The 21277-nt window shown below is 34.8% G+C and overlaps 1 protein-coding gene across 1 annotated transcript in view; it reads right to left on the bottom strand.

Moving 5' to 3' along the window:
* CFTR (CF transmembrane conductance regulator) overlaps positions 1 to 21277 on the bottom strand; it is a 188641-nt gene that overhangs the window by 131241 nt on the left and 36123 nt on the right. Inside the window, exons 4-7 of the mRNA NM_000492.4 lie at positions 6311 to 6526; positions 3060 to 3149; positions 2014 to 2177; positions 752 to 877 (exon numbers count right to left, since the gene is read on the bottom strand). Coding sequence (NP_000483.3) covers positions 752 to 877; positions 2014 to 2177; positions 3060 to 3149; positions 6311 to 6526 — 596 coding nt within the window. The remainder of the gene's footprint in view (positions 1 to 751; positions 878 to 2013; positions 2178 to 3059; positions 3150 to 6310; positions 6527 to 21277) is intronic.

Genomic DNA, 21277 nt, shown 5'->3' with positions numbered 1-21277 from the left:
AACATGGAGCTCAACTGAAGAAAAATGGTCTCATTGCTACAGAAATGCTGTAGTTTATATTTTGCCCAAATTTATCTCAGTAATCATATCTCAGTCTGTGCTGTACTTTCTTTGTTGGATATAATCTTTACTAATCAGTGAAAGGTTATATGAGGTGAAAGAACACTAGAGATAGGTGCCAAGTACTGATTCTATCTCAGGAGGTAGCTTTCATTACTTGAACTGACTTCACTTCAAGTGGAGGATTTATAGGAACCCAATCTGTGAATATTACCCTATGTCATTCCCGAGTTAAGGAAGAGCAAACATATTCTAACCAAATACAATTTTTTTCATGTTTAATATACCATAACACATAAATTAAGATATAATAATAGAGAATCATCTATTTGGTTCAGAATTGTATACTCTCCCAGTTCCATGTGAGTTACCAATCAGCCTTCAGTATCTTGATAATTGTTTTAACGAAATAAATGTATTGAGCAGCAGTGAACATATGTAGGAAATTCTTTAATAACGTATCAGTATAATATACTTGCAGCATAAAATAACACCCTGGACCAACTACATAAAACTACAGCCCATGAAAGTGAATTTGTGCAACTAATGCATGAATATTGACAGAACTTAAATGCAATCATTTGATTGTCACAAACATCAAATATGAGGTGGAAGTCTACCATGATAAACATATTTTTAAAAAATTAAGGACAGAATTACTAACAATATTGAAATTATTGGAACAACTTACTGTCTTAAGTTTTCAATCATTTTTTCCATTGCTTCTTCCCAGCAGTATGCCTTAACAGATTGGATATTTTCAATCATTTCTGAGGTAATCACAAGTCTTTCACTGATCTTCCCAGCTCTCTGATCTCTGTAAATCAATCAATCAATCAATCAATCAATCTAATAGTAAAAACAAGTCAAATTATCTATTAAGAACTGCTCAAGGTTTTAAGTCATATTTCTTTTATTCAACAGATGGGCATTATTTTATTATCAAATAGATGGTAACAAAAATAATAACTACTGTTTGGTAAATGCCTCCTATGTGCCAGACGCTGTACAGACTCATTCCATATGCTATCTCTATCCCTTATGACAGCCTATGAGCGGTGGGTATCTCTATTTTAGAGATGAAAAAAGCAAAGACTCAGTGAGGTGAAGTGGCTTGACTAAGGTCACATAACTAGTAAGCATGCAATCTGGGATTCAAACAAAGTGCTATTTGACTCCAAAACTTAGATACTTTCTGTCATACTCTAGCTGACAAACTCAAGCCCTTTATCCTAAGCAGTGACTTGTGTAAGTCATTCATTCACTCATATTAGTTATTCTGTAACACAAAGTAACTAAGGCTCTGGTGTGATGATCCATAAACCAGAGTAGTAAAAGCTAATAAACTCTACACAAAAATTAGGTATTCCCTTTAATTCACATAAATGTTTTATCCTTTTTTACCTGTTTTATAATCTACAAAAATGAACTGAATCAACATATTTATAAAGAAATTCTAGAGACTGACAAGTAAAAAATGTACCATTGATACAGAAAGTAATATTTACACCATCTTAAAAAGTATTTTTTAGGCCGGGCGCGGTAGCTCATGCCTGTAATATCAGTACTTTGGGAGGCCGAGGTGGGCGGATCACCTGAGGTCAGGCATTCGAGACCAGCCTGGGCAACCTGGTGAAACCCTGTCTCTACTAAAATACAAAAATTAGCTGGGTGTGGTGGCATGCGCCTCTAATCCCAGCTACTCCGGAGGCTGAGGCAGGAGAATTGCTTGAGCCTGGGAGGCAGAAGTTGCAGTGCAGTGAGCCAAGATCGTGCCACTGCACTCCAGCCTGGGTGACAGATCTAGACTCTGTCTCAAAAAAAAAAAAAAAAAAAAAATTTAATGACACTGAAGATCACTGTTCTATGCATAGAGCAGTCCTGGTTTTACTAAAGTGGGCTTTTTGAAAACATAATTTTTAAAACTTTCAAGTTATGAAAATAGGTTGCTACCTGTACTTCATCATCATTCTCCCTAGCCCAGCCTGAAAAAGGGCAAGGACTATCAGGAAACCAAGTCCACAGAAGGCAGACGCCTGTAACAACTCCCAGATTAGCCCCATGAGGAGTGCCACTTGCAAAGGAGCGATCCACACGAAATGTGCCAATGCAAGTCCCTGGAAAATAAAAGCACAGCAAAAACAGGTGTCATTGTATCTTCCACCCCTAGAAACTAACAATCATATATGAAAGAAAGCAAGTAAAAGGAGCTTATATGATCAAACACTTCGTGGTTCTGAGCACACTAAAATCTAGGTAATCATTACATGGAGCACATAGCAATGTGCTTAAACATTCTACACATAGAATCGGTTTTCCCAAAAAACAAATTTCAAGTCAGTGCATTTTTAAGCATATTTTTATTCAGTGGAATCAAGATTGGACATCTTAAGTATCATGTCCAGGTTTTAAGTAACTTACTTCTTTTTGCATAAAGCAAGAACCACAGCATAGAACATGAGAGAACAAAGAACTCTCTCCAGGGACTTAATCCACACAACCACACTCTGTCATTTGACAGAGACATTTAGAATAAATATTTGCTCAATTCAACAGTAATTAATTTTGTACCAGCTGTGGGTCCAATGCTGTTTTAAGTAATGGATATGCAAAGATAAATAAAACACATTATCTGTCCCAAGGACCTTGAATTTATTTTTCACATAAGACAACCCAGAACAAGAATTGCTCAGGTATCATATCTGGCCAAAGTACATAACAGATTTAAAGTTTTAAAAAGAAGCAAGGTCTGATAAGAATTAAGTTTTGAAAAATCTTATTAACAACAGGCTAAGGTGCCTTTGAGTTGGGTGGTTCTACCAGACCCCAGAATGGTGCTCTGCTATACAATTGACCTTTCTTAGTTTCCAGAATAGGGAAGCTAGAGCTGAGCAAGACTTAACCACTAATTACTATTATCTGACCCAGGAAAACTCCGCCTTTCCAGTTGTATAATTTATAACAATAGTGCCTAAAAGATTAAATCAATAGGTACATACTTCATCAAATTTGTTCAGGTTGTTGGAAAGGAGACTAACAAGTTGTCCAATACTTATTTTATCTAGAACACGGCTTGACAGCTTTAAAGTCTAAAAGAAAAATGGAAAGTTAGATAATTTCAACAAACAAAATACAAATATATTATAAGTAAAATTATAATATGACTAATTCAGTTATTATGCATTCATTATTAAGTAAAGGTAATGAAAATTATATTCTATTCATCTAGCTTACTATCTTCTCAGGTTCATAAATGTTTCTTTCAACAGTCAATATTATACTGGCATGCTTCTAGTTGTTTTATTTCCCAGCATCTAGGCAGAAATAATTATTTTTTCTCCTCACAATGAGAATGATATTATACTTAAATACCCATTGATATTGTGCGGGAGTTTTTTGTTTTGTTTTAAAAGATAGAGCCAAAGGCAGTGAAATTTGAAATTAAGCCTTGGCCTTGAATTTTTCATGTAGTCCTATACTAACTCTTTTGAATAAAATTACTTTTAAGTCAATAAAAGTATATGATGAATAACTGAATAATTAATACTTTTGTAAAAAAGTTTATTAATACAAAATTCTTAAATTTTACAAAGAAAAATGCAATGCTATATGAAACGTAGTTAAGCAGGTAAATTATTTTTTATCTACTTATTTATCTACCAATTAAATTTACTTAATTAAAATTATAAAGTTGACAAATTAATTATGATTATGGAAAACCAGAGTCATACTTTGCCTATAAAACTGAAGAATTGATTTGCTATTAGATCACTTTGACTGGGAATTATCTAATATTAGTTTCAAGTGAATCCCTCACATATTTGTTGAGCATTTAGTAAATGCAAATCACTGTACTTGATGCCTCAGGGATTATTAAGATTTATGAAAACACAATCCCTTCTTCAAGGCGACCTAGTATATAAATAACTAAATATAATATGATAGATGAGTTAAGGAAGTAGAAAGTAATAGGGTAGTTAAAAGGAAGTTAAAACTCCTGGTTAGAAAAATCATCTGGAAGGATTTTCTTGAGGAGTTAGAATTTGAGATGGTGTAGAATAATAAATAGTGTATAGACAAGCAGAGAAAAGAAGGAATCAAGGCAGTTAATTCCAAAACATTATCAGAGCAATATGAAGTGGGGGAAATCCACTGAGCTAAATTGCACATAACTTAGTAACAGGCTTAATCTCGAGTGACTTTGAGTTCTGCACAAGGCTTAACATAGAGCTGTGTGCACAGTAAGGACTCAATGAATATTTTTATTAATTTAGTTATCTCTGCATTCTTGAAAAGTATAGGCAAAGCTCAAGTTTGTTTGTATTTAAATTCATTATTTAAAGTAAAATGTTGCAGAATTTGGAACAAAGCAGAGAAGAGCTCTATTACAAACTTTGGAACATTGTAGGAAAGGTCCCACATATCCTGGCCATGAGGACAAAACAGGTCAGATATGGGAAAGCATGAGACCTGGGAAAAGTAAACACAAGGTTTACTTTAGGGAGCAAACCAAAGCCACACGGAGATGGGATTGCCTTCTTTGGTGATGATGCCATTGTAGGCCAATAAGTGTGGCTAGAGAGATGAAGCAAACTGGGCAAGAACACAGATATGCAACATTGAGAAAGGAAGACAGATACAATACCACCTAACTTTTTATCAATGCAGCTGGGTCTGAAAGCACCTATATCCTGTATTTGTGCTAAATGTTACATATGGACATGTTTACAAACTAACCTGCCCCTTATTTGATCTCTACACCCGTTTAGCCCATGCCTGTCTCTTCCCGCATTACAGTCTGACCACTAAATATCAGTACTCTATTGTCCCTAGTGGTTGGACAACCCTCCAGTTTAGAGATCGTGATTTACCTATTTTAGAAATTTTGAAGCAGTGTTCACACCATGTTCTGTACTTTTTAAATCTTAGTTTACTTATCCATAAGATAGGGATAATAGTACCTACCATTAATAGTTGTGCAGAAGATCAAATGAGATAGTGTACCCAATCGCTTAAAAGCTTGTCATGCACATCCTGAGCTATTATCATTATGATAACAAGCACTTTCTATAAACATTTATTAAACTGAATTCAACCTTCTCTGATATGCCAACTGTGTAGATTCCACATTCCAAATGATATCTAACAAAGTCTTCACTTACGTAAAATGTTCAGATTGAAATAAAACATTTGTTGACTTATCACATGTTTTGCTGGTACTTGTGAACTGATGAGATTGTAGCTGAGGTGATAACTGTGGACTCTGTTTTTTTTGTTTTTTTTTTTTAACTTCTGCCTTCATAAAAGGCTTTTTTGAACAATAAAGTATGGTTATCAAGGTTTTACAACACAATTGACCTTGCAGGTATATCTTAGAAGTGTTATGGGTTATTTGCTAGAGGCAGATTTCAGATCTATGCTCTTAAAAGCCAAGTATTTAACATATAATGTTTTTACATTGATAAAAGAAAAGAGAGAAGAAGGGTAAAGCAATATCCAAATAAGTCCATCAAAACAGCTTTTTATAATGACTTTGCAGATCCAAGTTAGTAACACATGGTAGTGAATCAGGATGATGCAAGCACATGCCTTTGAAACAACCTTGAATTGTGGTTGTAAGGTAGCTAAATGTTAATTAGAATTCACCTAAATGATGCCTCGGCAATTTGGTCTCTTGTCTGGACAATACATGCAGAAAAGCAGAGTAGGTTCTTATGGGTTCAATGCACGTGCTGTTCCAAAAACTTTAAATTTGTAGGGCTCATAGGATGATAAAAATCCAACTCAAAATAAGGCGGTGGATACTACTACTTATGACAACCAGTTAAGGTGAAATCTTTTGTTGTTTGGGTTATCATTAACAATCATATATTATACTCTTCTTGCTGAACATAAAGATATGTGGCATTTTACTATAAGATGATATTTTGTCAATTACTTTTATGTAGGCTGTGTGAGTCATCTTAACAGGAAACCATGGATTCCAAAAAAATGATAACATGATTAGGAGAAAAAAAAAACTACAACAGAGGCAGTTTACAGAAGATACTCAATAATTATCAGTTTAAGTCAATTAAATTATCAAGGATAATTAAGAGCATTAATTATTCCTGCCATTTATTTAATAGGCATATTAAATTAATTTCAGCATTTATCCCTTACTTGTACCAGCTCACTACCTAATTTATGACATTAAAACATGTACGATACAGAATATATGTGCCATGGGGCCTGTGCAAGGAAGTATTACCTTCTTATAAATCAAACTAAACATAGCTATTCTCATCTGCATTCCAATGTGATGAAGGCCAAAAATGGCTGGGTGTAGGAGCAGTGTCCTCACAATAAAGAGAAGGCATAAGCCTATGCCTAGATAAATCGCGATAGAGCGTTCCTCCTTGTTATCCGGGTCATAGGAAGCTATGATTCTTCCCAGTAAGAGAGGCTGTACTGCTTTGGTGACTTCCTACAAAAGGGGAAAAACAGAGAAATTAAATTTCATTTATTTCTCATAAAATACCCTGAGAATTTCAACACAAGACTTTTCATCTTTAGAGGAGACTTAAAATGAGTTTATATAGAGGGTCATACCATATGTGAAACTCTTAGCACTATTTTCAATATCTTGGTACTTTGAAATAAGACTTGGGATTTGTTATAGCAACAGTGGGAGACAAGTTTACATATGAGGTATTTTAAGTTAAACAGTGAATAGTGGCCATAAAATAAAAAGTATAGTTTCTGAAATGGTTTGTTAATTAGTAACATCTACATAGCACTTAACAGTTTCTAAAGCATTTCCCTTTTTTATTTTTCATAACAACTTTCAGTATCAGAGTAGGCTTTTTTTTTGTTTACTATAGAGACTTTCTTTGCTACAGAGTAGGCATTATTATTTTCACATGGCAGATGAAGAAACTGAGGCCACACAGACCAAGTGACCTGATGTAATTTCAAACTAGAACTTTCAAAAGTGTTTTGTGCAATGGCATTATTTTCAGAATGAACTTAGCTTCTCAAGGCAACTACACAAAGCAGAGCTGGGAATGGGAGGGAGGAGCACACCAGCACTAGCGGTATTTAAAATCAGCCACTTCCAATGCTAGTCCCTTCTCAGTCAGCAATAGGAATGGACTTTGGGGAAGGAGTTTTGCCAGCAGCCTCAACCTCAGGCCAGATTCCAATGACTCCTGGACTCCTCAAAGGCCCGTGAGTCAATGAGAGAGAGCGGAAGTTATGTTTTCCCAAATATACCTCATCAGGGTCCTCAATCGACTACTAAACCAAATTGTCCATCGAATTTATTACCACTTCTCCTGAATATACAGGAATAGATCTGAATCCAGGGATTTTGAACTCAGGAGGTCTAATTCTTACCCATCTTGTTACATTGGCTTCAAAAGGGAAGGACACATAATTCCTCATTTTGTTTTATAACGATTTAGTAAAATAGGGATCAGAGGGTAACCCTGAGAGGAAATGATGCTATGATAATTGGTTCCATTTAAAATATATATTTCCAAGAAAGACTGCAGCCTACCCCTGGTATTGCCAAGCATTATTCTGCCTCATCCCTTAATTTGAGGGGTTTTTGTCCATTTTCTACAATGTATTTTCTAAACCTCAAGTATCCAATACCTCCAGCCCCATCATTCTCAATAGATGACCATGCTTTCTACATCAATGTCATCCCCACAAGAAACCCTAACCCATATAGAGCTGTCATTGATTGAGCAGCTTTGTGTAGCTGCTCATTCTGTGCTTTATATACAATGTTTTATTTTTAATTAACTATGTCAACCAAGGCTCTGAATGCAAGAAAACATTCAAACTTTTTTTTTTTTTTTTTTTATACTCTAAGTTTTAGGGTACATGTGCACATTGTGCAGGTTAGTTACATATGTATACATGTGCCATGCTGGTGCGCTGCACCCACTAACGTGTCATCTAGCATTAGGTATATCTCCCAATGCTATCCCTCCCCCCTCCCCCGACCCCACCACAGTCCCCAGAGTGTGATATTCCCCTTCCTGTGTCCATGTGATCTCATTGTTCAATTCCCACCTATGAGTGAGAATATGCGGTGTTTGGTTTTTTGTTCTTGCGATAGTTTACTGAGAATGATGGTTTCCAATTTCATCCATGTCTCTACAAAGGACATGAACTCATCATTTTTTATGGCTGTATAGTATTCCATGGTGTATATGTGCCACATTTTCTTAATCCAGTCTATCATTGTTGGACATTTGGGTTGGTTCCAAGTCTTTCCTATTGTGAATAGTGCCGCAATAAACATACGTGTGCATGTGTCTTTATAGCAGCATGATTTATAGTCCTTTGGGTATATACCCAGTAATGGGATGGCTGGGTCAAATGGTATTTCTAGTTCTAGATCCCTGAGGAATCGCCACACTGACTTCCACAATGGTTGAACTAGTTTACAGTCCCACCAACAGTGTAAAAGTGTTCCTATTTCTCCACATCCTCTCCAGCACCTGTTGTTTCCTGACTTTTTAATGATTGCCATTCTAACTGGTGTGAGATGATATCTCATAGTGGTTTTGATTTGCATTTCTCTGATGGCCAGTGATGATGAGCATTTCTTCATGTGTTTTTTGGCTGCATAAATGTCTTCTTTTGAGTAGTGTCTGTTCATGTCCTTCGCCCACTTTTTGATGGGGTTGTTTGTTTTTTTCTTGTAAATTTGTTTGAGTTCATTGTAGATTCTGGATATTAGCCCTTTGTCAGATGAGTAGGTTGCGAAAATTTTCTCCCATGTTGTAGGTTGCCTGTTCACTCTGATGGTAGTTTCTTTTGCTTTGCAGAAGCTCTTTAGTTTAATTAGATCCCATTTGTCAATTTTGGCTTTTGTTGCCATTGCTTTTGGTGTTTTGGACATGAAGTCCTTGCCCACGCCTATGTCCTGAATGGTAATACCTAGGTTTTCTTCTAGGGTTTTTATGGTTTTAGGTCTAACGTTTAAATCTTTAATCCATCTTGAATTGATTTTTGTATAAGGTGTAAGGAAGGGATCCAGTTTCAGCTTTCTACATATGGCTAGCCAGTTTTCCCAGCACCATTTATTAAATAGGGAATCCTTTCCCCATTGCTTGTTTTTCTCAGGTTTGTCAAAGATCAGATAGTTGTAGATATGCGGCGTTATTTCTGAGGGCTCTGTTCTGTTCCATTGATCTATATCTCTGTTTTGGTACCAGTACCATGCTGTTTTGGTTACTGTAGCCTTGTAGTATAGTTTGAAGTCAGGTAGCGTGATGCCTCCAGCTTTGTTCTTTTGGCTTACGATTGACTTGGCGATGCGGGCTCTTTTTTGGTTCCATATGAACTTTAAAGTAGTTTTTTCCAATTCTATGAAGAAAGTCATTGGTAGCTTGATGGGGATGGCATTGAATCTGTAAATTACCTTGGGCAGTATGGCCATTTTCACGATATTGATTCTTCCTACCCATGAGCATGGAATGTTCTTCCATTTGTTTGTGTCCTCTTTTATTTCCTTGAGCAGTGGTTTGTAGTTCTCCTTGAAGAGGTCCTTCACATCCCTTGTAAGTTGGATTCCTAGGTATTTTATTCTCTTTGAAGCAATTGTGAATGGGAGTTCACTCATGATTTGGCTCTCTGTTTGTCTGTTGTTGGTGTATAAGAATGCTTGTGATTTTTGTACATTGATTTTGTATCCTGAGACTTTGCTGAAGTTGCTTATCAGCTTAAGGAGATTTTGGGCTGAGACGATGGGGTTTTCTAGATAAACAATCATGTCGTCTGCAAACAGGGACAATTTGACTTCCTCTTTTCCTAATTGAATACCCTTTATTTCCTTCTCCTGCCTGATTGCCCTGGCCAGAACTTCCAACACTATGTTGAATAGGAGCGGTGAGAGAGGGCATCCCTGTCTTGTGCCAGTTTTCAAAGGGAATGCTTCCAGTTTTTGCCCATTCAGTATGATATTGGCTGTGGGTTTGTCATAGATAGCTCTTATTATTTTGAAATACGTCCCATCAATACCTAATTTATTGAGAGTTTTTAGCATGAAGGGTTGTTGAATTTTGTCAAAGGCTTTTTCTGCATCTATTGAGATAATCATGTGGTTTTTGTCTTTGGCTCTGTTTATATGCTGGATTACATTTATTGATTTGCGTATATTGAACCAGCCTTGCATCCCAGGGATGAAGCCCACTTGATCATGGTGGATAAGCTTTTTGATGTGCTGCTGGATTCGGTTTGCCAGTATTTTATTGAGGATTTTTGCATCAATGTTCATCAAGGATATTGGTCTAAAATTCTCTTTTTTGGTTGTGTCTCTGCCCGGCTTTGGTATCAGAATGATGCTGGCCTCATAAAATGAGTTAGGGAGGATTCCCTCTTTTTCTATTGATTGGAATAGTTTCAGAAGGAATGGTACCAGTTCCTCCTTGTACCTCTGGTAGAATTCGGCTGTGAATCCATCTGGTCCTGGACTCTTTTTGGTTGGTAAACTATTGATTATTGCCACAATTTCAGAGCCTGTTATTGGTCTATTCAGAGATTCAACTTCTTCCTGGTTTAGTCTTGGGAGAGTGTATGTGTCGAGGAATGTATCCATTTCTTCTAGATTTTCTAGTTTATTTGCGTAGAGGTGTTTGTAGTATTCTCTGATGGTAGTTTGTATTTCTGTGGGATTGGTGGTGATATCCCCTTTATCATTTTTTATTGTGTCTATTTGATTCTTCTCTCTTTTTTTCTTTATTAGTCTTGCTAGCGGTCTATCAATTTTGTTGATCCTTTCAAAAAACCAGCTCCTGGATTCATTGATTTTTTGAAGGGTTTTTTGTGTCTCTATTTCCTTCAGTTCTGCTCTGATTTTAGTTATTTCTTGCCTTCTGCTAGCTTTTGAATGTGTTTGCTCTTGCTTTTCTAGTTCTTTTAATTGTGATGTTAGGGTGTCAATTTTGGATCTTTCCTGCTTTCTCTTGTAGGCATTTAGTGCTATAAATTTCCCTCTACACACTGCTTTGAATGCATCCCAGAGATTCTGGTATGTGGTGTCTTTGTTCTCGTTGGTTTCAAAGAACATCTTTATTTCTGTCTTCATTTCGTTATGTACCCAGTAGTCATTCAGGAGCAGGTTGTTCAGTTTCCATGTAGTTGAGCGGCTTTGAGTGAGATTCTTAATCCTGAGTTCTAGTTTGATTGCACTGTGGTCTGAGAGATATCCAGCCAAACTAAGCTTCATAAGTGAAGGAGAAATAAAATACTTTATAGACAAGCAAATGCTGAGAGATTTTGTCACCACCAGGCCTGCCCTAAAAGAGCTCCTGAAGGAAGCGCTAAACCTGGAAAGGAACAACCAGTACCAGCCACTGCAAAATCATGCCAAAATGTAAAGACCATCGAGACTAGGAAGAAACTGCATCAACTAATGAGCAAAATCACCAGCTAACATCATAATGACAGGATCAAATTCACACATAACAATATTAACTTTAAATATAAATGGACTAAATGCTCCAATTAAAAGACACAGACTGGCAAATTGGATAAAGAGTCAAGACCCATCAGTGTGCTGTATTCAGGAAACCCATCTCACGTGCAGAGACACACATAGGCTCAAAATAAAAGGATGGAGGAAGATCTACCAAGCCAATGGAAAACAAAAAAAGGCAGGGGTTGCAATCCTAGTCTCTGATAAAACAGACTTTAAACCAACAAAGATCAAAAGAGACAAAGAAGGCCATTACATAATGGTAAAGGGATCAATTCAACAAGAGGAGCTAACTATCCTAAATATTTATGCACCCAATACAGGAGCACCCAGATTCATAAAGCAAGTCCTGAGTGACCTACAAAGAGACTTAGACTCCCACACATTAATAATGGGAGACTTTAACACCCCACTGTCAACATTAGACAGATCAACGAGACAGAAAGTCAACAAGGATACCCAGGAATTGAACTCAGCTCTGCACCAAGCAGACCTAATAGACATCTACAGAACTCTCCACCCCAAATCAACAGAATATACATTTTTTTCAGCACCACACCACACCTATTCCAAAATTGACCACATAGTTGGAAGTAAAGCTCTCCTCAGCAAATGTAAAAGAACAGAAATTATAACAAACTATCTCTCAGACCACATTCAAACTTTTAAAAAGTTTCCAAACTAATCACAAACCTGGAATATTATAGTTCTCTCATCTCACATAGCCACATTTTAAATGTGAGTTTGAATGATAGCAGACAGGCAGGTGCTAAAAAGAAAATTGCCAACCTCCTATCCAAATATTACATGTTAACTGTTTGCTATATCTACTGAAATATTTTTGAAAAGTAAGTACACAAATGACTGCATAGTGTATATTATTTTATGTATGTTTTGTACTTCTATTACATATATGTTCATCTTTAGAATATATATCAAAGAAGAATGGTTTTTGAGGTTTTTAAATTTTATATAAATAACATCCTACTGTGCTTTTTACAACTTTTTAAAAACTTAACACTGTGTTTTTCACATTTATCCCTATTGATACTTGTATAACCAACTCATTTATTCTAAGCACTGCCTAACATGCCACCCTGTGAATAAATCGGGATATTTGCCCATTGCCATACATTGGAGCAGTTGTGTTGTTTTTCACTCCTAAGCTACTGCAATCAGTGAAAGTGCTGCCCTGGATGTTTTTTACAAAGTTCCATATGTATTTGCCAACCTTTCTCTAGATTCGAGGATTTTTTTTTCAAAATAACTTTTTTAAATTAGGAAAATGTACAATTAAGGTAAATCTTGGATTTAAAATTATAAATATATCTGCATTACAAACATAATTGCTCATAGTATGCTTACAATGGCAATATTTAATCCTTAAAATTATTTTAGATCAATATTTTACCCCAGAATTGTTCTATATTATGTTGTTTTTCATAGACAAATGTCAATACCATCAATTTACTTTGATTTGGTTTTTTTTTTTTTTTCATGACTAGTGGGTTTGTACTTGGCCAAAATGCTCTCTTGAGTTGCAGTCAAGGCCACTGGATTTACATGTGCTATCTATGTTAGAAGTATCACATGTGATCATGAAGCAGAGAGCAAGGGGCATTATTTACCATGCATACCAGACAAAGCATCATTTCTTGTTCACTGTAAGACAGTAACGGGAAAGGTATGACCTGTGAACACTGCTTATAAAGTCAATTCTTTATATCATGATTAGCATAATCACATTTCTCCCCTTTCAGAACTCATTTATCTGCTAATATATATCTATACAGACATACGATAAATACAGAAAGACTGGATAGACTATCTCAAAGAATATAGAACTACTGATAAACAATACATTGCAAAGCAAGTATGCAAATATTTTAAAAAGTAACTTGTGTCTATAGGATGCTAAAAAGAAGCTTCTGAGAAAAAAAGAGAAATATTTTAGCAACCAAGCTAAATTTTAGCACAGAATTTTTCAAGTTACAAGTGTAAAGACTTGTATAAGATTTTTTTATTTTGAGTAATGTGAAATAAAATCTCTTCCACTGGATTTCTCCATTATATTTTCCAGATCACAATAGACTTTTCCCTACCACAACAGACTTATTTGCTGAATTTTTATTCAGTTGTAATTTACAACAAAACACAATTAAAATGTGTATTAATTTGAGTGGAATGCCTTTTTAAAAAATTCAGAGACAGGGGCCGGGCGCGGTGGCTCACGCCTGTAATCCCAGCACTTTGGGAGGCCGAGGCAGGAGGATCACAAGGTCAGGAGATCAAGACCGTCCTGGCTAACACAGTGAAACCTCGTCTCTACTAAAAATACAAAAAATTTAGCTGGGCGTGGAGGCGGGCGCCTGTAGTCCTAGCTACTCGGGAGGCTGAGGCAGGAGAATGGCGTGAACCCAGGAGGCGGAGCTTGCAGTGAGTGGAGATCGCGCCACTGCACTTCAGCCTGGGTGACAGAGCAAGACTCTGTCTCAAAAAAAAAAAAACAAAAAACAAAACAAAACAAAAATTCAGAGACAGTCTTGCTTTGTTGCTTGGGCTGGAGTGCAAGGGCTATTCATAGGTGCCATCACAACACACTACAGCCTCAAATCCATAGATCAACAGATCCTCCTGCTTTAGCCTCTCAAGTAGCTGGGATTACAGGCTCATGCCACCATACCTGGTTTGTAATACCTATTTTACATGTCATTACTGAGTTTGTTGTCATCTTTCCTCAACCGAAGAGGACATAGTCATCCTTTGAACAACAGTAGCTATTTCACAAAGAACTGGTAGCATTACTCTGGAAGGGCATGTTTACAAACTAAAATGCAGTTTATTTTCGGTATGAAAAATTCTAATAATAAGATCATCTGCAAACAGCAAACCAACATAAACCTCACCACCACATGGAGCTGTTACCATTCAAGGACAAAATTAGCACTCCGAAACCCCACCCCTTCTATAGTTTTCCCTAATCTGTTTTAAGCATCATGTTCTTTAATATTTACAATGGAACCATTTACAGATATCACCTGATTTTTTTTTTATTTGGAAAAAACACTGGTAACTGATACCTAGCTTAACCTATGAAGTGCAATCCTTCACAAAAATTATCCCCAGAATGACTGGGAGAAACATAGTCCCTATATTCTTGGTACAAGAAAGCTGACTGTACTCCATTACTCAGAGTATTTTCAGAGACACAAGAAGCGTCCTGATTTGCTACCACATGAAATAGTACAAGCAAACTTAGGCTTGCATGTAAGAAGGAGGAATGTATAATTATTTGGATATTTAATAAAATAGTTTATTACTCTGTATCAGACACAAATCAAGATGGAATTCACTTAATGGCTCACTTCAATAATAGAAGAAGCCTGATACCAACGTGTAAGCCAGCGTGATGGTGAAATAAACACTGAATTCAAAATCGTGAATTCCAAATTCTTATCCAGCACATTACCTACATTGGCTGTGTTATTTTAGTCTCTTCCGCGCTCTGGACAGTTTTCCTCACTGATAAACTAAGAGGTGGAGAAAGCTAATTGTGATGTCCCCTCCAGTGCTAACATCTCTGATTATATGATCTGAGTCTGCAGAGTCCCATGGCAGAGGCCAAGAATTCCTTGGGTAATTGTCCTAGCCCTCATCCTGCCATGACTATGGCTGTTTTCTACTCAGAAGGATGAAAGTCTGAACAGTATGAGTTCAGAAGATCATCTGGGTAGAGGGGCTCAGATTAGAAAACAGCTCAAGTGATTGCATTCCTGGTGGGAACAATTTTGTGACTCAATTTAGATCAGCCTCCCAGGGAAAATTTGGAAGACTAAAAATGTCTCCTATATCTTCTAGGAGTTATATCTCATTTCTCACATGTTCTTCAAGACCAGAGCTTCAAAGTTATTGTAGATGAGTCTAAATTCTTTAACCATTTATGGTTAAAAAATTGTAATGCATACCTAAGATAGGATCAAATGTTTAGTCTAGAGATAGGAAAGTCTGCTTTTTCTAGATATTCAAACCATGAAGGAAAGTTCAGGTGAAAAAAATAGAAACCTGAACTCATGCTTGTAATTACACTAAATGAATTAAACCCAGAAAACTTTACTTTAAAAATTACAGTTCTGATCCCAAAGCAGGGTTGTTTCTAAGTAGAATGGTCACTTGGAAAACTTCTAAGGCTACACTGTTTTCTATTGTGTGAGGTCACTTAATAAAATCACCATTATCATTTTAACTTCTTTTAAATATACAGTACTTTATATGTCGTTATTCCAAGAATAATAGGACAGTTTAATTTTGAGAAATTAATTAAAAGAATACAGAAGAACCTATGATTATCTCAGTAACAACTGAAAAGGAATCTGATAAAATTTCAATATGTTTCCAATAAATGTTCTTAATAAACTTGAATATAAAGATACATTATTAACCTGAAAAAGGATTTCTTCCTCAAAATGTTACAATCAATGCCATAATTATAAAAGTCTAGATGCATTACATTTAGAGTCAGGAAAAAACAGAATACTAGCTATTACTACCATTTAACATTTTTCTAGAACTTCTAGCTAATACAACTCAACAAGAAAAATGATCGAGGTACAAATATTGGAAAGAAGCAAGAAGTATTATCAGCATAGAATATGATTGTGTAACAAATGTAAATGAATCAAGAATTTAATAGATCGAGGTTTAAAAAATGACTATGCTAAGAAAATAGATTTCTATATACCAAAAATGACATCTAATTAAATGAGTATCCCATTCATAGTAACAATATAACAAAAGATACAATGTAATAGCAATAAGATATATATCTTAAAATATACATCTCACAAAACATTATTGGGACATATTTTAAAAGTCTCAAATAAATGGAGAGTCTTAAAACTTTCTAAAATGAAGAACTTAATGTTGCAAAGATTACATTCCCCTCCAAGTTATTTTATAAGATTAGTGCAATCTTCATCAACATTTAAAGATTTTTTTGGAAGTGAATTTTTAGCACCGTAAGAGTAGGGACTGTCAGTCTCAATTTTTGCAACAATCCTAATACCATGCACAATACCAAGCACAGAATATCCATTCAACAAATATTTGTTGAATCAATGAATAAAATGATTATAAATTTCATTTGGAAGAAAACTCATCAAAAACATTTGAGGAATAAGAATAATGTGTCAGAGGGTTTACATTACTGGATATTAAATCATAAAGCCATAATAATATGTGACATGACAAAGAAATAGACTGATTTATCTCAAAAGTCCAGGAACATGTCCAAGCACATGTAATACTTTAATATATTATAAAATACGGCATTTTAATTCAGTGGAGAAAGAGATCATGCAATAAATGATGGACAAACTGGATACTCATCTTTTTGAAATTAGATTTCTACCTCATACATGCATCACAATGAATTCTAAATAGAGTAGATATTTAAATGTAAAAGATGAAGTAATAAAAACATAGATGCATGCTTACATAATATTTGGGTGGCATGGGCCTTTATAAAAGAATAATGTCAAAGCAGAAAACAAAGAAAAAGATATATAGATTTGCCAGCAAAATTTTCAAAAATTAAAGCTTTTAATTGTAAAAAAAAAAAAAAAAACTCACTAGAAACAAAATTACAAGGCAATTGACAGGCTAGGGAAAATATTCTCTCATATATCAAGAAAGAGACAAATACAACAAAATAAAAACACACAAAGAACATGAAAGGCAATTCACACACACAAAAAGAAATATAAATGCATAATTAATATACAAAAACAGATTAAACTCACCAGGAACCAAAAGTAATGCAAATGAAAATAATAATATGCTCTTTTTCACTTGGCATTTTTAAAACTTTATTTAAATATCTATTGTTAGGACTGAATTTTCATAGTTTAGTATCAGGAAAGTAAAATAGTAGTGCACCTTTTCTGGAAAGCAATTTATTTGTATTTTTACACTTAGGTAGAGAGTCAAGAACACCTTCTAAGAGTCAGCTTTTAAAGGGGTGTGTACTGAAGGACCTTTTATAGTAATAAAAAAATGGAGGCAATTTACATACTCAATGATGAGGAACTGATTAAATAAATCATGGTACAGCCATATGATTCATGAAAGTAACTAGGTAGAAAAACATCTAATGACATGGAAAGGCATTCACAACACATTAAAGGGAGAAGCAGATTAATATGCACATTATGTAATGATGACTTCTCCCCTTTATTAAGTATAAATTCCCATGGGAAAAAGCTGGAAGGATTAACATCAAATTTACCAGTAATTATCTGATTATTCTGATTATTAATCAGAAGAAAATAAAAATTTGGATAAAAATTTCATACAACTTACAATAATAAATAAAAAGAAAACATGCATACAAAAAATGGAAGAAAGCAAATACACCTACACTCAGAACCCATCATAGGATACAATGAATGCTGGCTTATATACTAAAGCAAAAGTTTAAGATTTTGCTTTTGGCAGGGTAAAAGTGAGTGTCAATTTTTTGTCTATTTTGATACAGCAGAGTCTGACAATAGTTTTTGGGCTCATACAAATTGCTAAGGAAATGAATTTTTCCATATTCATCATAGAAAATAAAAACATATTCACGCTTAATCCACTGAAGAATTAAGAGGTTTGTTTTTAAATATTTCCTTCATTTTGCCACAATTGTTTATAGTTTTTGCAAAAATACACATATACCACACCTAGAACAGAATCTCAGAAAAAAATCTACCTTTCTTTTAGATTCAATGACTAATTCAAAATGCTTTAGTTTTGGTATTTTCCTTTTAGTGCTTACTGATTTTATTAATTATTACTGGTAACATCTTCACTAGAAATCTAAGCTATATTCTTCATATTTTATAAGAAAAAGCCCCTGGATTTGCTGAAATAGCAGCAATAATAGGTTTGGTTCAGATAACACAATAATGAAAGATGTGTTAAAATATTAATTTTAATTTCTAAAGTAATACTAGAATCTAGCTGCCATTTTAAAGCATTAGTAAAATATATTCTTGTGCCTTATAAAAATCAAACTGGTGCTACAAGATTTGCTTATAGCATATATACAGAAATAACTAAATGTAAATAATGAGTATTTGTGCACTTAGGTAGAGAGTCTATTTAAAAAGACAGGGACTGGACTGGGTGCAGTGTCTCATGTCTGAAATCCCAGCACTTCGGGAGTCCAAAGCAGTAGGATCACTTGAGCCCAGGAGTTTGAGACCAGCCTGGGCAACATGATGAGACCCTGTCTCTAAAAATGAAAGGCAGAAAACACACATATATATATATATATATATGTTTTTATATATGTTTTCTATATGTATATATGTTTATATATACATGTTTGCTATTTTCTAACCTATTATTGCTCTATATATTTAAGTCTATGAAAGACATATATATACACATATGTATATGTTAATAATATATAATATAGCCTATTATATATTATAATCATATATATAAATTATTATATTATTTATAGTATTATATATTTATTTAGAATAAATATTACTATATTATTATATAACATATGTTATATACAATTATAATTATAATATATATTGTATTATATATTATAATAATGGGTTAGAGACATATATGTGACATATATATATAGGTTTTATATATATATTCCTTCCATATATTTAAATTGGTGAAAAGGTAATGATGGTCTTTGCCATTACTTTCAATGGTGAAAACCACAATTACTTTTGCACCAACTACATATAGAGTTCCATATATAGAGAGAGCACTTGCTATGTACCAGAATCTATTCTATGTGCTTAATGCATTTAATTCTCACAACAACTCTATAAAACATGTTCTATCCAGCAAAAGAAACTATCATCAGAGTGAACAGGCAACTTACAGAATGGGAGAAAATGTTTGCAATCTATCCACCTGACAAAGGGCTAATATCCAAAATCTACAAGGAACTTAAACAAATTTACAGGAAAAAAACAACCCCATCAAAAAGTGGGGAAAGGATATGAACAGACACTTCTCAAAAGAAGACATTTATGCAGCCAACAAACATGAAAAGAAGCTCATCATCACTAGTCATTAGAGAAATGCAAATCAAAACCACAATGAGATACCATCTCACACCAGTTAGAATGGTGATCATTAAAAAGTCAGGAAACAACAGATGCTGGAGCGGATGTGGAGAAATAGGAATGCTTCTACACTGTTGGTGGGAGTGTAAATTAATTCAACCATTGTGGAAGACAGTGTGGCGATTCCTCAAGAATCTAGAACCAGAAATACCATTTGACCCAGCAATCCCATTACTGGGTACATACCCAAAGGATTATAACTTATTTGACTAGAAAGACATATGCTTATGTATGTTCATTGCTGCAGCGTTCACAATAGCAAAGACTTGGAACCAACCCAAATGTCCACCAATGATAGACTGGATAAAGAAAATGTGGCACATATATACCATGGAATACTATACAGCCATAAAAAAGGATGAGTTCATGTCCTTGCAGGAACATGGATGAAGCTGGAAACCATCATTCTCAGCAAACTAACACAAGAACAGAAAACCAAACACCACATGTTCTCACTCATAAGTGGGAGTTGAACAATGAGAACACATGGACACAGGGAGGGGAACATCACACACAGGGGCCTGTGAGGGGGTGGGGAGCAAGGGGAGGGATAGCATTAGGAGAAATACCTAATGTAGATGATGGGCTGATGGATGCAGCGAACCGCCATTGCAATCGCCATCTAGATTGCAAACATTTTCTCCCATTCCGTAAGTTGCCTGTTCACTCTGATGATAGTTTCTTTTCCTGGATAGAACATGTTTTATAGAGTTGTTGATACCTATGTAACAAACCTGCACATTCTGCACATGTATCACACAACTTAAAGTATAATAATAAAAAATAAAAGAAAAAAGAAAAAGAAAAAATGTGCTATCATTATCTCCACTTTACAATAATGAAATTGAGATGAAGAGAATTTAAGTAACCTACCCAAAATCACATGGCTAGTAGCTGGCAAAACTGTGATTTGATAACTTAAAGAGTGTCATTGGATTGTTGGTAACTCAAAAGATAAGTGTTTGAGGGGATGGATACCCCATTCTCTATGATGTGCTTATTTCACATTGCATGCCTATATGAAAACATCACATGTACCCCATAAATATATACATCTACTATGTACCCACAAAAATTAAAAATAAAAATAAACAAAAACTAATATTTGAACTAGACAGTTAGACTCCAAAGTCCCCTCCCCACCGCCACCCTCACTGATAACCCTAAATCAAAAACAAACTGTTATAACACAACCTGGTTACTTCTCAGTTGCTCATCAGTTCACACATTGTTATCAGTTCAACATGACCTAGCAAATTAAGTTATAAGCTAGTATCACTGTAATTTAAGATAAATACCATTTATCTAGGCCCTATCTTATATACACATAATTTAAAAGATGGAAGTGACGGTAAAGATGGTATACTGTACTATAGCTATACTATACAGTTTCCCTCAGTTGTACAGTTAAGGAAACTGAGGTCCAGATAAGTGTTTTTATTTGCTTAAGATCATAAAATAAGTTATGTTATCAGTGCATAAAGCAGATCCCAGCAGAGTTAACAAAAAAAAAATGCTGAACCTTTGGAAACAATGCATACTTAGTGCATCATATATATTTTACTTTGTTTCACCATGTCATATTCATTAGTCATTAAAG

This window comes from Homo sapiens, chromosome 7, assembly GCF_000001405.40.
Source record: "Homo sapiens chromosome 7, GRCh38.p14 Primary Assembly".
Taxonomy (NCBI): domain Eukaryota; kingdom Metazoa; phylum Chordata; class Mammalia; order Primates; family Hominidae; genus Homo; species Homo sapiens.
The sequence above is the reverse complement of the archived record's forward strand: the minus strand, read 5'-3'. Positions and strand labels throughout refer to the sequence as shown.